Source organism: Homo sapiens, chromosome X (genome assembly GCF_000001405.40).
Source record: "Homo sapiens chromosome X, GRCh38.p14 Primary Assembly".
In the NCBI taxonomy this organism is placed as follows: Eukaryota; Metazoa; Chordata; class Mammalia; order Primates; family Hominidae; genus Homo; species Homo sapiens.
Genome location: NC_000023.11, coordinates 22032004 through 22046392, shown reverse-complemented (window position 1 = coordinate 22046392; position 14389 = coordinate 22032004). Strand labels below are relative to the sequence as shown.

General features: G+C 42.8%; 1 protein-coding gene across 4 annotated transcripts in view; it reads right to left on the bottom strand.

Annotated features, from left to right (window-relative positions):
* The window catches only part of PHEX (phosphate regulating endopeptidase X-linked), a 218986-nt gene extending 204918 nt beyond the window's left edge, over window positions 1-14068 (bottom strand). For 3 of the 4 annotated variants that reach the window (NM_000444.6, NM_001282754.2, XM_047442159.1), the window contains exons 1-2: window positions 13270-14068; window positions 7856-7924 (exon numbers count right to left, since the gene is read on the bottom strand). In NM_000444.6, coding sequence (NP_000435.3) covers window positions 7856-7924; window positions 13270-13387 — 187 coding nt within the window. In that variant the 5' untranslated portion in view covers window positions 13388-14068. Of the gene's footprint in view, window positions 1-7855; window positions 7925-7998; window positions 8239-13269 lie in introns of those variants that run through there. The other variant, XM_024452390.2, reaches the window with a different exon arrangement.

The following is a 14389-nucleotide window of genomic DNA, read 5'->3' as shown; positions in this document are numbered from 1 at the left end:
GCTCTTCCCATCAAGTGGTAGAGTCTATTTCCCCTGCCTGGAATTTGGACTGACCTTGTCACTTGCTTTGACCAACAGAATTGGCAGAAGTAACTTTCTGTGAGTTTCAAAGCTAAGCCTTAAGAGGCCTTGCACCTTCCATATTAACTCCCTTTGAATGGAGCCCTTTAGCTGCCCTTTGAAGCAGCCTCCTGGAGGACAAGAGGACACATAGAGAAGAACCAAGCCAGCACAACTGCCAGGCATTGACTGAGGCCATCATTCGCCTTCCAGTCCAGGCGCCCATCTAGCTGAATGCAGTGGCACAAATGAGCCTAGGCAAAAATCGGCAGAGAAACCATCCACCAAATCCACAAAATCATGAGAAATATCCAATCATTTTTGTTCCAGGCCTCTATGGTTTGGGTGGTTTGCCTCACAGTGAAGGCTAATGGAAACAGAAGTTCATATGTCATCTATCTAAATATTTAAAAGTTATATTTACAAAATACTTTCAAATTCTTGAGCTCCTTGATATTCAGTGTAACTCTCAGAGAAATGAAGCCCCAGAAGAGACTCACAGAGATCCTGGAAGGGAGCTTGGGGCCATCAGGCAGGGAATTCTGGGGTGTAGAAGGAGAGGGCTGCCTACTTGGCTCCACAGACGCCTTGGCTGAAGGAGAGGCATGGCCAGAGGAGGGCCAAAGTAGGGTGTTCTAAATGAGGGACCCAGGTCTAGCAGTAGAACTGAGTATGTGTATAAGTTAACAGAAAGACACAATAGACTGATCTACCATTTTTTTCCTCTTTCATAAGCCCATACACAATTACATATAGAAGATAACCCACAGGTAGGAGATGTGTGCATAAATATGTAACCATGAACTTTAAAAGAAAACCCTTCATTACAAAATGAGAATTCCCAATATTGAACTCCAATGCTCTTCCAGCTGCCATGCAATTGCTGGCTACCATTCTAGCACAAAGTTATGTACCAATTGATTTTTTTAAAAAACCAGACAATATTTTAATGACATTGAAAAGATGACATTCTGGGCAATTTTCATACTTTAAATAATGCCAGAATATATTTTTGTTTGAAGTAATGAAAACCCAAAGAGATTTCAGCTAAATATGAATGAACTGCCCCAAAAAAGTACAATCTGTGTCAATTTAGATACATATCTTACAGTTTGGTTACATGTGTGGTTCCTCCAGGTTTAAAAATAAGGCTAGATATTTCTCCAGCCTAGACTTTCTACAAAAATTTCAAACAGCCTTTTGTCTTCAATGAAGTGAATAATATAAAAACATTCTAATTTCTATAGGGCCTCAAAATCCCCACCATTTTCAAACCTCCCCCAACAACACACACACACACACAAAAAAAAAACACTAGCAAAAAATTGGTTTAGAAGCCAAACACTGTGGCTCATGCCTGTAATCCCAGCATTTTGGGAGTCTGAGGTGGGCAGATCACTTGAGCCTAGGAGTTCGAGACCAGCCTGGGCAACATGGCAAAACCCCGTCTCTTAAAAAAATAAAAAAATAAATAAAAATAAAGACTTAGAAGTTTGATAAATTTCAAATTGGCTTAACATTTTCGTGCTTCAGAACTAGCATCAGTTGTCTCTAATTACATTTTTAATTACTGCTACTTTTTTATTTTTTATTATTTATTTATTTATTTATTTATTTTTTGAGACAGAGTCTTGCTCTGTCGCCCAGGCTGGAGTGCAGTGGCGTGATCTCAGCTCACTGCAAATTCTGCCTCCCAGGTTCACACCATTCTGCTGCCTCTGCCTCCCAAGTAGCTGGGACTACAGGCACCCGCCACCACGCCCGGCTAATTTTTTTTTGTATTTTTAGTAGAGACAGGTTTCACCACATTAGCCAGGATGGTCTCGATCTCCTGATCTCATGATCCACCCACCTTGGCCTCCCAAAGTGCTGGGATTACAGGCGTGAGCCACCGTGCCCGGCCACTTACTGCTACTATTTTATCATTAATATTTAATGTGCAAATGTGCTAGGACATAACAAAATCTTTCTTTTGGTTGGTATTTATAGTTACTGTATGCAGCCACAGAATGAATCTGCTATGTGACACCTCAGAGACATGGATCACACGTCTCAGTCCCACACAACATTTACAGTCACACAGGGGAGCCCTCACACGCATTTTTACCCACATGAGTACACTGTTTTCCAGCCTCCTTCTCAAACTTTCCCTGCCCCCAACCCTCAAATGTATCCTCTCCATCTCGCCAGTATTCTTGCAGGTACCTAGAAAAACTGCAAGGTCAGCTCTGACCTTGGCCCTGATACAAAAGTTGGGAAATACATCACTCACATTGAATTTGGAAAGAAGCCTGCTGAGTGAGAAAACTCTAGTTGCAGCCTCCCAATTCATCATTCACAATTCACAGCGGGGCACAGGGCTGCACTTTCTGCAGGGGAACTGTGACTTCAAATTGCAAGGGACCATAGTTGTCAAGACACCAAAACGCCTTTCCCCCTACTCAGCTCCATGGAGAAAACCCAGAGTCTTGTTTTAATAAAAGAAATATGATGATGAAGGAAATCTGTGAAAGCTCAGGCTGTGTACTCTTCCAAGTCACTATATATAAGGTTAATTGTCACACAGTCACCAGTTGCTGTTTGTGTGGTAGAGGTGGAGGCATCCTCCCTAAATACCAGCCTCTGTTTTTAGATTTAATCAAGGATGAAGGGAGAGAGTAGTAATAATAATAATTAACAATAATAAAATCACCAATATTGAGTATTTCCTTTTTGCCAGGACCTACGCTAAGCCCTTTTTTAGCAATATGGTATCGTCACAAACTCTAGTCAGACCACTTGTGTTTGAATGAGAGAAACACCATGCAGCAGCTAAGACACCTTAGGCAGGTGATTTAACCTGTGTCTTAGTTTCCTCACCTGAAAATGGGGATAATAATAGCACCCCATGGAATCATTATGCAAATTAAATATATGTAAAGTGCTTAGAATAGTGTTGGGCACATTACCATATAAATGCATGATGCCCAGTGAAGTCTGAATTTCTGATAAACAACCACCTTTTAGAATAAGTAGGTACCAAATAGTCCATGAGACATACACCAGAAAAAGTAGTCATTGTGTATCTGCAATCAAATTTCACTAAGCATCCTGTATGTACGTATGTATGTAGTTAGCTAAATCTGGGAACTGTAATTCCACAATCACTTATCTGAAACTCTTGAGGTTAGATATGTTTCAGAGCTCATAGATTTTTCAGATTTTAGAAAATAAATACATTGCATATAACCACAGATCATGTAATACTTCAGCAATGGCTGGAGTGGCAGGCCTGAAGCAAGTGCATTAATGTTTCTATAGGGAAACATATGCATATTCTTGTAAGTAGGATAAATGAAATCTGAAGCAGCCTCACATGAGTTAAGATCCAATTTTGCCATCAAAGGAATTGAGATCAGGCCCCCATCTTGCCAACTGAGAGTTACATCGTTTTCTGGGTTTGGGGTTAAGAATCAGCATTGTGAACCTAAATTACTGCTACTACCATTATTATTTTCTTTTTCTAATTTTTTTTTTTTGAGGCGGAGTCTCACTATGTTGCCCAGGCTGAACTGCAACCTCCCCCTTGGGGTTGAAGTGCAGATTCAACCTGCAATCTCGGCTCACTGCAACCTCCACCTCCCAGGTTCAAGTGATTGTCCTGCCTCGGCCTCCCAGGTAGCTGGGATTACAGACTTGCGCCACCACGCCTGGCTAATTTTTGTATTTTTAGTAGACATGGAGTTTCACCATGTTGGCCAGACTGGTCTTGAACTCCTGGCCTGAAGTGATCTGTCCGCCTCAGCGTCCCAAAGTGCTGGGGTGGCAGGCGAGAGCCACCGTGCCCAGTCCATTATTATTTTCTTTTATTCTCACGACTAGTATAAGTAAAACCTGTTATTCCCATTTCACACTTGGTGAGACTGAGGCTTAGCGTGGCTATATATTTAGCCCAGGATCATGTGGCTTGTAAATAGCTAAATCATGCTTCAAACCCAGTCAGCCTGTCTGCCCTTATCTGTGATCATGAGCATGCATGCCCTTTCCTTGTTTCTTTGCATTCTTTGCACAGCTCTTATTTTGAAAGAGGGATTAAAATAAGAGGACACAGAGAAGAGGAGAGTTATGGAGAGGAAGCATCTCAGAAGTGGTTGGCACCTGCTCAGAAATGGTCCAGAAGGCGATCAAACACTCTAGTCTTCTGAACTTTCAGCATGCACGCCCACGCACGCACAGCCTCTTGTTTAAGGCCCTGGCTTGGCCGTAATTCTCCTGCCATGTGTACTCACAGCTGTTCTGCAGACCCCTGGGCACACTGAGGCTCACGTTACACTAAAGAGAACTGGGTCTTTGGTGAGCCTTTCACTCCAGAAACAGCAAAATCAATATTTTTTTTCAACATTAGAAAGCCATTCGCCAATGTGAAAATTAAAAACAGGACAGCAAGGCAGAACACACTAGCTGGCAGAAGGCAACATCTTTGAATGTCAGTCTGTAAGTTTTAGTCTTGCATTATTATGATTCATAATACAGAACTAAAACTCATGAAATAAGTGGCCTTCCATACAAAAAAGTGTTCTAAACTCAAGTTGAAAATTTATGAGCTCAAAAATTCCCATTTCACACATCTGCAAGAACCCCACCACAGCCAAAGCACCAGGTGACATAAACTCTAAAACCTGTCCTGATAGTTCCGCCTGCTCTCTCACCCCACTCCATGACAATCTCTCACCACTGGAGAAAACCTCAGGTCAACTACTCAAGCCTGGAGCAGGAAAGGGCCTGGGAGTTCTCAGATAGTTCCAGGGCCAAAAAGAGTTGCCTGGCATGGCCCCATATCACCAAGGAAAAGACGGAAAGGAGCCAGACATGGACACGAAGTCCAGCTCTGCTACTAACTCAGGATGAGACCCTGGGCAGTTATTTAGCCTCCAGAAGCCTCCATTTCCTCATCTGTCAGTGAGGCTGGTGATAGCACTGACTTCATAGGGGTCTTATGAAGGTTTTATGAGATGGTGCCTGTAAGGCACTCAACACACAGCCTGGTTAAAATATATATATATATATATATATATATATATATATATAGAGAGAGAGAGAGAGAGAGAGAGATCACTTAAGAATGGAACAAAAAAAGAACTCTACTAACATAATTATCTAAGCCACTACCTTTGTATAAGGTCTCCGAATTTACAAGCTCTTTCACCTAAGTGTTTCCCATCTCAATAAACACCACTGCCCAACCATCACCAAAAATCTAAGCGTCACCCACAATTGTCTGCTTTTGTTCACAGCCTGCATCGAATCCTTCAATAGGCCCTCTACCTCCTAAACCTTCCCCCATTCTCCCTCTCCATCTCTTGAATTCAAGACAGCATCGTCTGTCACCTGGCGTACAGAAATAAACCTACTTGAGTCACCTTCTTCTATTCTTGCTCCCTATGGTCTCTTCTCCATCAAGAAAGACTCCCTCTAACTGAGCCCTCCACCGAGACATCTTTTGAAATGCTCCTAAGATGTATTCTCTTTCATAAAAGCCTCCAGAGGCTTTCGAGCACACTTAAGGAAAGCCCAAACTCACTGGCACTTGGGTCCCCCATTGACTCCTCATCACTTGCACCTCACCTAGCAAGCTCCTCCCGTTCCTCAAGTCCACCAAGTTCATGCTTCTATGCACCCTTTGCCCCATCTGTTCCCCCCACCTGGAAAGCCCTTGCCTCAGTCTTCACACAGCAGTTCCCTCCTCATCATTCAAAGGTCACCTCCAAGGTCATGTCCTCCGGCTTTTCAATCTAGCCATCCTGTCACTTGCTATCACATTGTTCTATCTTTTTTTTAATTTTCTCTATAACATTTTCCACTGACTGATATTCCTCTTTCTTTCTTTCAGAGATGGGGTCTCACTAATTTGCCCAGGCTGGCCTCCAACTCCAGGGCTCAAGCCTCAGCCTCCCATGTGGCTGGAACTAAAGGCACGTGTCACCACACCCAGTTTCATAATTTTCTCATTGTATTAATTGCCTTATTGTCTTTCTTCCCATACCTGGTTCACTGCTCTATTTCCAAAACCTAACTCAGTACCTCATGTGCAACAAATATTTGGTGAATTTGTTCATTAACCTTTTAAGGCCAAGAGGAAAGTGAAAGGGCCACATGCTTGTTTGATGACTTTCCTTTTGGAAAAAGGAAAAAAGTGTCCCTGCCCACTTAAAGAATGAGGGTGAGGGCTAGAATCTGGCTCCCTGAAATCTAGGCCCTAACACTGATTTAGGAGGGAAATCTAATAGCTGTGTGTGGGACCCCCAGGTTTCCCCTCACCTCCCCACCGCCGCTTTCGGTGTCCTAACCAAAAATTACACAATCCCCTGACCACTCTGTGACCCAGCCACCTGCAGGTTTGTTTTGTTTTGTTTTTTTTGAGACAGAAGTTCCCTCTGTCACCGAGGCTGGAGTGCAATGGTGCAATCTCAGCTCACTGCAGCCTCCGCCTCCTGGGCTCAAGCAATTCTCATGCCTCAGCCTCCCGAGTAACTGAGATTACAGGCATGAGCCACCATGCCCGGCTAATTCCAGCTGCTGGTTTTTCCCAGCAGGCTTAGGTCCAGACTGGACCCTTGAACATTCCCAGGCACTGATAAAGGTATCTAGGTTGATGCACAAAACACTGAAAGAAACTAGTACCGGCTCTGAGCCAAATTCCTTAAACCCGCATATAGTCTCCACACCCTAATGCCCTAAGTAGAACACCCCTTTTCTCTCACTGTCTTGAGGATACACTGCAGCACTTTCAACATAAGTTGCACTAATAAATGCTTTGGACTGACCGGCCGCCCTGGCATTTATTTAGTGCTTCTTTCTTTGGAATCCCAACTGGCCCCATCTCGGGATGGGATATTCCCTCATGGGAATTTCCCTGTTGCTGCTTTTGGGGCAACTCCAGCCATGAGTTTGATGGGATAAGACACTGTGGCAAAACTGCGGCCACTTTAAACACTCATCTTCACCCTGGGATATCCACTGATACACAGCCTGGTCACCTCAAGAGAAGTTTGACTTGCAACGTGTGACAGAAAAAAGAGATTCCCAGCCGGGCACAGTGGCTCTTGCCTGTAATCCCAGCACTTTGGGAGGCCAAGGCGGGTGGATCACTTGAGGTCAGGAGTTCGAGATCAGTGTGGCCAACAAGGTGAAACTCCGTCTCTACTAGAAATACAAAAATCAGCCGGGCGTGGTGGTGGGCACTTGTAATCCCAGCTACTAGGGAGGCTGAGGCAGGAGAATCACTTGAGCCCAGGAGGTGGAGGATGCAGTGAGCTGAGATCGTGCCAGCCTGGGCGACAGAGCAAGACTCCGTCTCAATTTTTAAAAAAGAGAAAAGGGACTCCCACTGACAATGGAAGCGTGGATTTATTTGCAAAGGAGCCTTGCTTAGAGGCAGGCAAGTCAGACCCACAGACCAGAAGATAGGCAACTGCTTAAGGTAAAGAGGAATTCATAGCCAGCGGAGCCATAGGAAGACCAATGTTCTCTGCCTGTGGGTCTTAAGAGAGGCCATTCAGCCTTCCAAGCCCCTTCCTGATTTCCTTGTAACAACGCTTAGAATACCACAGTTTTTGCAAGGAAAAAGAAAACAGGAAACCTAAGCTCCACTGTTTCACACCAAAACTTGAAAATAAACTTAAAATTTCTTCAAAATTGCATTTCGTACTTGGTAAACCTCAAGCAAACAGAATACTAAAAATACCACCTGTCTTCTCTTCCACTTCCCAAGGTACCATAATTATAACTTGACACAGGATGGAAAACTGTGACTTACCCGCTTCGATGCATTCTGGCTTCAGGCAGTACTCCTGTTTAGCTTGGAGACTTAAGAGACCTTGACTCACTGAAAAAACAGACCACAATAAATGGCTGAGTTGTAGCAGACCACCATCCGGTAAACCACCCTCGGAAACATACGCAAGATATTTGATATCAGTTCATCCTTCTCAGTGTTGACACGGTATTCCAAAACCCAGTTGGTTCAATGTCACGAAACCAGACTCTAGCTGCTAGCTAAATAACCTTGGTAAGACTCTTGGTTGCTTTGAAACTCAGTTCTCTCGTACGTAAGATAAGTGAGTATAACTAGACCAGAGCTCCTAAGAGTGTGGTCTCTAGAGCAGCAGCAGCTGCTGCTGCTGCACCTGGAAGCTTGTTAGAAAGCCACTCCAAGATCTTGACTCAGAAACCCTGGGGGTGGGGCCCAGCCATCTGCGGTTTAACAAGCCCCCCAGGTGATTCCGATACATGCTCAAATATGAGCACCACTGGGCGAGACACTCTCTAAAGTCGCTTCAGCCTCCAATTATCAGTGGTTTAAGTCTCATACTTTCACTCTATTGGTTTATAACTCCATGCCCATGTTCAAGATGGGAAAATTGAAACTTTTAAACTATGTCATTTGGAGCCAATCAGAGTGGAAATAGAAAGCTAGCATGTTTGGCTTTTAGAGTTCTGGATCTTATCTAAACCATCCATACAGATACGGACCAAAAAAGGGGTAGGGGTAAAGAATATACTGAACATATCTCAATCACCTATTGATAGCAACAGTCATTGTCCGCCTGCCCTGAACCCCACAAACTCTCCGCCCACCAGGCCCAGCTTAGCTACCAGACATTTGCAACTTTGTGGACCAAGCTTCCAGCTATTTCCTCCCTTCCCCCACTCCAAAAAAAAAAAAGTCTAAAATTGAAATAGCTTTTCACCAATGGCTTAATATCTCCATCTGCCTGGCAACATTATCTAAATAGGTGTCTGCAGAAGTACAGAAGGGTGCCCAATTTGTCAACCCCAGGTAGCACCTGGGCATTAGCAGATGTTAGTTTAAGATTTCAAAAGTATTTGTAGTAGCTGAGGAAATTCTGGGGAATTCATTCTTGCTGTGCTCTGTGAGCAGAAACAATGAATCATTTGGAGATGTGGCCATGGGGAGAGGGATGGTGGGAGGTGAATGGGGACCAAGGCCCTCTGTGGCAGAAAGCTCGGCAGTACCTATATTTCTGCTAGAGATGGAAGACCTGTAGATTACTACCCAGTGTGGCGAGTTTTTATTATTTATTAACCCACTCTCTAAATGGAGCCTGCTTTTCCTTTGTTCTTTTTCTCTGCTGCCATCCTCCAAACAGCCTCTTTGCATTGCATTGTGTTACATTAGAGATTCAAGAAAACTGCCGATGAAACATCTCAGTCCTATTTTTTTTTTTTTTTTCGAGACAAGAGTCTCACTCTGTCACCCAGGCTGGAGTGCAGTGGGGTGATCTTGGCTCACTGCAAGCTCTGCCTCCCGGGTTCACGCCATTCTCCTGCCTCAGCCTCCCGAGTAGCTGGGACTACAGGCACCCGCCACCACGCCCGGCTAATTTTTTTGTATTTTTTAGTGGAGATGGGGTTTCACCGTGTTAGCCAGGATGGTCTCGATCTCCTAACCTCATGATCCGCCCGCCTCGACCTCCCAAAGTGCTGGGATTACAGGTGTGAGCCACTGCGCCTGGCCCATCTCAGTCCTGTTTTTAAGAAAATAAGTTTCTTAGCAAAAAGGTGTGTTTTGATTTCTGTATAAAGCAAAAAAAAAAAAAAAGTTATGTAAAAAAATATATATGGGCAGCATAAAGATTAGTGTGCAATATTCCAATATGCCTGGGTGGCAGAACCTCAGGGGGAATTTTCCCCATCAGTCAATTTTTATATGTTGACCTAATGTTCTTTAGTGAGCATGTGTTCTTTTATATAATGCAAAAATAAGCTTTATTGTAAATAATATTTTTATAATTCTGGACAATACCTTCTTGATCCTAGCCTTATTTTAAAAAACAAAATAGCTAATAAAATCGTTAAAGACTTATTCCTTTCATGAGAGATAATTCTTGACCCAAAACCTCAAAGGAAGAAGTAAAATCAGGTATCTTTATCTAACGATGAGCAGAAGGAAGGTTTTAAATATAACTAATTAGGCCAGGCACGGTGGCTCAGGCCTGCAATCCCAGCACTTTGGGTGGCCGAGGTGGGCGGATCACCTGAGGTCAGGAGTTCGAGACCAGCCTGGCCAACATGGTGAAACCCCATCTCTACTAAAAATACAAATCTTAGCTGGGCGTGGTGGTGCACGCCTGTAATCCCAGCTACTCAGGAGGCTGAGGCAGGATAATTGCTTGAACCCAGGAGGCGGAGGTTGTAGCGAGCCAAGATCGCACCACTGCACTCCAGCCTGGGTGACAGAGTGAGACTCCGTCTCAAAAAAAAAAAAAAAAAAAAAAATATATATATATATATATATGTACGTGTGTGTGTGTGTGTGTGTGTGTGTGTGTGTATAATTAATTAATTGGGACACTGACAGACCCAACCCCTCAAGGAAGAGCATTATCTCCATGGATGGGGTTATTTTAAAATTCTCCAAATAAATGAGGATCAATAAGCCCAGATAATGTGAAGGTGTAAGTGAATGAAATAGAGACAATAAAGAAAATATTTTTAATATAAAAATTAAGATGTTACTTTTGAATGGTTAGGAGCTTTAAAAAATACATGTAAATAGCAGTTTGGTTTCTCATTGTAGATTTCTCTATAACCAGAGGAAATGCCCTTAGGATGCAGTGGAGTCATCCACAGATCAAGAGCATAAGAATGGCCAGAAAGCAGGGGTCAGCAAACTATGGCCTGTAGGTCAAATCCATTGCCTGTTTCTGTACAGCCCATGAGCTATGAATGGCTTTTACATTTTTTTCATGGTCAGGAAAAATAAAAAGGAAAATAATATTTCATGACATATGAAAAGTATATAACATTCCAATTTCAGTGTCTAGAAATCAGATTTTCTTGGCACACAGCCATGCCCATTTGTGTACATATTGTCTATGGATGCTTTTGTGCAACAACAGCAGAATTGAGTAGTTGCAAGAGGCCGTATGGCCCACAGAGCCAAATATATTCACTATCTATCTGGCTCTTGGCAGAAAAAGTTTGCCAGCCAGTGCATCTGAGAAACAGATTGTGGGGAGGAAAGAGAGGGGAAGGAGAAGAAGAAAGGTTTTCCATTCTGGTGCTCTGTAGCTTCTCAGAAGCCACTGCAAGACCACTGGCAATCACTCTTACTGTAGAAGCACTAAGGTTGCGAGGAGAGATTATCCCAGAGCCTCAGATACAAAGATGAGGTACGAAGGGATGCTAGAAATTGCAGGCATGTAAGTGAATGTGGACAGGCAGAGAAATATACCACAAAGTCAAGCAGGAAGCCCCTTGAAGAGACGACGACCCTAACTAGAATATTGTCATGAAGAGCATTGCCAGGCAGGTCCCTGGAGCTTTTCAGACAAGCACTTTGCCTGGGTGCAGAGTGGAGGTGGGTGGCAGAGTTGAGGAGAGGGACGGGGAGAGGGGGTAAGGGGGTGATTCTAAAATAGTGCAGAAATATTTGACAAAAAGAAGTGTCCCTGAATGTATACATCCAAATAGATATGGTCACCTGAAGCAATGCTTCTCAAACCTGCATTTGCAAACAGTCCCCTGGGGGTCTTGTGAAAATGCAGATTGTGAATCAGCGGGTCTGGGGTGGAGCTCAAGCTCCCCAGTGATGCTAATGCTGCTGGTCCACAGACCCCATTTTGAGAAGCAAAGTTGTAGAGGCCACAGCCTCAGTTTGCCCTTATTCTCTAACATCATTTGAGCTCCTCTTAGAGAGTCAAGGTGAGAGCCAGGTTATTGGGCACGCTGGAAAGTTCTCTTTCATATTTTATGCAGGCCTCCTTATCCATAATAGTAGCGTCTGGCTTGATGAATTTTACTTTGCTCTAAAAACATCGGCACTATTTCCTGAGAATAATTTTCTCTGAAAGAACAAAGATTTGCTGCCGCGGAGAATCTTTCAACCGATATGCCACGGCCTCAGGAGGTAATCATAAAAGTAGAGTTTTGTAAAAGTTTCGTGCAGTGGTAATATCGTTAAAAAGAGTACATATTTTTACATAAACAATAATTATTGGGATTTTTAAGTTTGGGAGCATTTGCAAAACCTAACCTTGCAGTCACGTTGCACGTAGCCTGTAGTCTTTTGGCATGCCCATAGAATTTTTCCTCTTGTTTGGAATTTCAGCAGAGGACCCTTGTTTAAACCCTAAGTGCTGAGAAATCTTACAAGAGTTTTCAAGAGCCACAGATTCAGTTGCAGGAGTAGGAGATTTCGCTTTATCAGAAAGCAATAAACCCATCTAATTTCCTAAATCTTCAGCCACAGAAAGCGTGGAAAGATGGTTTGCTCATTTTAGCAGTTTTCAACCACACAACCCTAACTCTTTTAAAGTTTAATTACTGGTTTACCCCTGCCAAAATAAACATGGCCTCCTGCAGGTTTGCTACATTTCAAACTGCACCTAGAATCTCCTCGTTCCTATGTAACGTTCAAGTTAATGAAGTATTATGGGTTGTATGAGAAAAATTAAAACGGTAATAGTCAAGGGTTCAGAAAGCCTAGAATTTTAGAAAATCCCTCACTCCTTTCCAAGATATTTGATTCTTTTTCATGGGAATACACTTCTATCATCCTATATACTCTCTGGGTACATCATTCTCACCAACAGTCATTAAAATAACTGAATCACAATATCTTTCAAATCTTGGGGGAAAACCTCTGTTTTCCTTCATATTAATTTGTAAATCAAATTGCATCTCACCAGAGTCACTGGATAAGAAAGGAATTGAAGAATATCATTAAAAGCACACTTTAAAGGACTGATTTGTGTTTTGTGAATTAAATTTCATGATTCGTTCAAGCAAACATTAATAAAAGTCAAATGGAAAGACACTCCAGCATGGTTTTCATCACAATGTAAAGTCTTTCCTCAAAATATAAATGAAACTATGTGACTATGAATTCACAAACACTCATTTTGCTAAATGTACCACATAAAAAATTTTCCACCCAATGCAACAGAATCAGCCAGCCACTCGAAGCCACTTACACCCACTTTGCCTTCTGGACTATACATTTGGTACTTGGGTGTATTTATTTATTTAGGCTCCTTAAAAAAGCCTTCTTTATCATTTGCATATTTGATAGAAACTAAAGATACACCACCTATGAACGCAGGCAAACAGCCCTATACCTGTGTTATGACAAGTTTTGCTACAATAAAGCACAAGGAAACTTCTCGACACACACCCAGTTCCCCCGGCCTCCTGCACTCCACTTACCTAGAAAGAGGATCGTGCCCAGAACTAGGGTGCCACCGACAAACACGACCAGGGCAATTCGAGTGCCTCTGTTGGCCTTCTTTCCAGTCTCCACGCTGCTCCCTGTTTCTGCTTCCATCAGAAGGGCCGTAGAGAGCACACGAGAAGAAAGTCACTTTTCGTGGTTTGGTGGCTGGTCTCAAGAGCGAGGCGTTGACATCCAAGGCTTTCTTGCTCTTCTACTAATGGACAGCTTAAGAAACTGCCGTCAGGAAATCTCCCCTCGCCACCCTTTCTCAAATAATTCTTCACAAATGAAAATTATAAAAACCAAAATATTGGTTGCCTTGGCTTTCCCCCTGACTAGACAAAACAAACAGTGTTGCTTTATCTTGGTGCTCTCCCTCAGCAAAGTCCCTGTTTGGCAGGCTCTTCTCTCAAGCGTTCCGAGTATATATGTTTTACTATGTTGCTGAACAGATGTTTTAGCTATTTAAATGTATAGTCACTTGGGGAGGAAAAAAACAATTGTTTTATCAAAACTGGATTCTCGTGAAACTCCCCCAAATCATGATAAGTTAGGTGGCCAGGATTCACCGGACCCACTTCAAGATCTCAATTAATCATGTAATTCTGTTGCAAGAATCATTCTGCTTGCCTGAATTGTCTTCATCAAAGATATTCTTTCAGTGTGTGAGTCCCTTTTTAAAGCCTTCTAAGAGTTCCTAGGATATCCTGGAGCATTTTATTTCAGGAACTTTGTGTATGATAGCATGTGCCAAAAATCAGTCATAGTCCAGTGCAGTGCAAAGTAGCAATTAAGACAACCTACAGAGGCTGATGGTTTGAACTGGAACTTTTTCTTAAAGGAAGGAGAAAAAGCACTTCCTCTTTGTGGTACTAAGAAGTGTACAAAAAAAAAAACCCACAAAAAAACACAAGTGCGTGAATTAAGTTTATTAGCAACTACAAAAGATATGATGAAAAATTTTTTCCTTGTGTGTTTTTGATGAAAAGTGCACCATGTGTTTTGTCTGCCACTCCTACTGAGGCAGCCATTCATTAGGATGTTTTTGTGTTTACATAAACTGTCCACTTCAGCAGATTCCCCAGGATGAATTCAAAGGCAATTGGTTTCAGG